Genomic DNA, 2,602 nt, shown 5'->3' with positions numbered 1-2,602 from the left:
TATTATGTTTCCAATTTTATTGATTTTTTTTGTAGTGTAAAATTGCTGCAAATCCTATCCAGTAAAATTTTAATTTTACATAATTTATATTTTATTTCTACAAATTTTGTTTTTTTTACATCTTTTATTTCTATCTTTCTTTGTTACATTAACATTTTTCTTTCAAATTTCTGAGCATATTGGGCATATTTAACATCATCATTTGCCAATGTACCATCTCCATCACGCCTGGATCTGTTTACATTGACTTATTTTTTTTCATGTTTCTAGGACTACTTCTTTGTATGTCTATCAATTTTTAAATGGATGATAGGCTTTAGACATTTTAAATGGTTGAGTGTTTTTGAGGTTTTTCTTTTTCGGTTTTTCCTTTATCGAGTGTTGGCCGGCAGTAAGTTACTTGTGGATCACTTTGATCCTTTTGAGACTTGTTTTTAATCGTTTTCATTTTTTTATTGTAAGCGTAGGATTACTTTATTGTCACTAGTATTTTGTGACTGTTCTGAGCTCTCTACTGAATGCCCCATGCACTCAACACAGTTTCACCACTCTGGCTTCTGGAATCATAAATAGTTCCTAGCCCCATGTGAGCTCTGAAAACTTTAGCTTACATGCCCCCAGAATTGTTCTTTCCCTGAAAGTTGTTCTGTCCTTGATTTCATGGAGTTTTTTTCTTATTCATCTGTAAACTGGTATTCAGTCAAAGACTCAAATTGATCCCTCTGTTAATTTTAGGGCTTTTTCTCTTGTCACTCAATTTTTTTCTGATATTCTGCCCTGAACGTTTTAGCTGCCTCAGCCTTCCCAATCTTTGATCTCTGTTTCCTCAACTCTCAGACTCTGTGGGGCTCTGTTTGGATTCCTCCTCTCTGCACCAGAAAAAAAAATTAAGCCAGAGAAATTTTAGGACTCACCTCTGTTGTTTGTCTTTATTAAGGATCACACTCCTGTACTGCCTGTGGTCCAATGTCTGAAAGCAGTTGTTTATATATTTTGTCTACTTTTGTAATTATTTATGGTGGGAGGATGAACCTGGATCCTATTACTCTCTCGTAGCCAGAAGCAGAAGTTATTCAATTTATTTTTCAGTGCTGGGCATGTCAGTCAAATAAAATGTTTATGGCACTAATCTACAGAAGAAGTGTACAGTGGAATTATTTGGCTTTTTAATAACAATAGCTGGTTATTATTAAGAAACTATCAGTATGAAGTATGGTTCCGGATGCTTTATGTATCTTTTCTTATTTTGTTCTCATAATGGCGTTTAAAGAGATGAATTGCTATTTCCACTTAACAAGTGAGGGAACAGTGGTTGTAAACAGAGAGTAAGCGTAGGAGTTAAGATTCAAAGCTTGGGCTGTCTGACCACTAACCCTGATTCATTTCTTCCCTCCATTTGAGTTGCATGAAAGAGTGGGTGGCAGTACATGAGGAATTAGTAGAGTGGAAACAAGATTTTAGGGTTAACAGAGGAACTAGAGATGAAAGAGCATGGCCTGGCAAAGCCACTATAGATGTGTGGCCTCTACTCATGAGTCATAGACTCCTCAGTTGTAGCCCCATCTTAATCTAAAATGATGTGTATATGCTTCACTCTGAAAAGCTCGGTGTAAATTCACTTCCCCTAATTTTCACTGGTCGTCTACACCATTCCTAACTCACAGAAAGTTTGCAGTTTTTCCTCCTGCCACTTGAAGTCTTTGGTTCATGAGGTTTGTGTCGGGACTCTTATTAATTTCCTCTGATTTCTTGCTGCTCAGCTATGTCCCCGCAGGTTTTCTCTTTGGGATTTTTCCATCTCTTTCTGTTGCTATTATAAAATAGACCTTTAGTCTCTGGGGTTCTTTCCACAGAGTTTTAATCATATTTTTGTGATTCCCATTATTTAAAAATAAATTCTTCCTTGATCACCAACTTCTGCCTAAGCATGAGCCAATTTCCTCACTTGTATTTTTGGCATATGTTCCTTGAAAATAGAACTCAGTCTGCCTTTTCTGCAGACACATAATTGCCTCTCCCACCTGGATTCCTGAGGTAGTCACAGCACACAAATAGCACTCAGAGATCTACTTGAAAATCTCTTAGTACCCAAATCCAATAGCTTTTCATCAGCCCTGCTTTTATTTAACCTAGCCTCTGATTTGGGGATTCATTTGGTCATTACAACTCTTTATCAGCTGTAGTTATTCTCCTTTTCTCTTTTAAGACTTACTGTGTATCCCGGCTGGATTTCTTACAGCTGGGCATTACTTCATATTCTTCTCCTCTCTAGGTGGGTGCTAAATTCGGTTTGGAAATCAGGAACCTTCTTTCATCTAAACTTGTTATTTGTATGGTATAACTTGTCCTGGAAATGTGGCTCTCACTTCCTATTACAATACAAATTAAATTCAAGAGTGGCAGATAGGTCGCATTACACATGCCAACTCAAATGGACTCAAAGTGGCTACCAAAAATGCTGAGCTGATAAGGCCTCTGAGGACTTGTTAAGATTAAAGAAGGGAAGTGTAGCTATGAATTAGCAATGGTTACCATGTTTATAGGAGGGGAGAGTGATGACACAGATGTCAAGTGTTTGCCACTCATGGTAGCTTTGCCTTCC

The 2,602-nt window shown here is 37.3% G+C and overlaps 1 annotated feature.

Moving 5' to 3' along the window:
- Positions 1,425-1,584: a silencer, noted in NCBI's record as "silent region_4749". NCBI's record gives its function as "represses an Ori minimal core promoter by ATAC-STARR-seq in GM12878 lymphoblastoid cells {active_cell/tissue: GM12878}" and the evidence as "EXISTENCE:reporter gene assay evidence [ECO:0000049][PMID:35858748]".

This window comes from Homo sapiens, chromosome 12 (genome assembly GCF_000001405.40).
Source record: "Homo sapiens chromosome 12, GRCh38.p14 Primary Assembly".
NCBI classification, from domain to species: Eukaryota; Metazoa; Chordata; class Mammalia; order Primates; family Hominidae; genus Homo; species Homo sapiens.
Note: the sequence above shows the minus strand (reverse complement) of the source record. Positions and strands in the feature narration are given on the sequence as shown.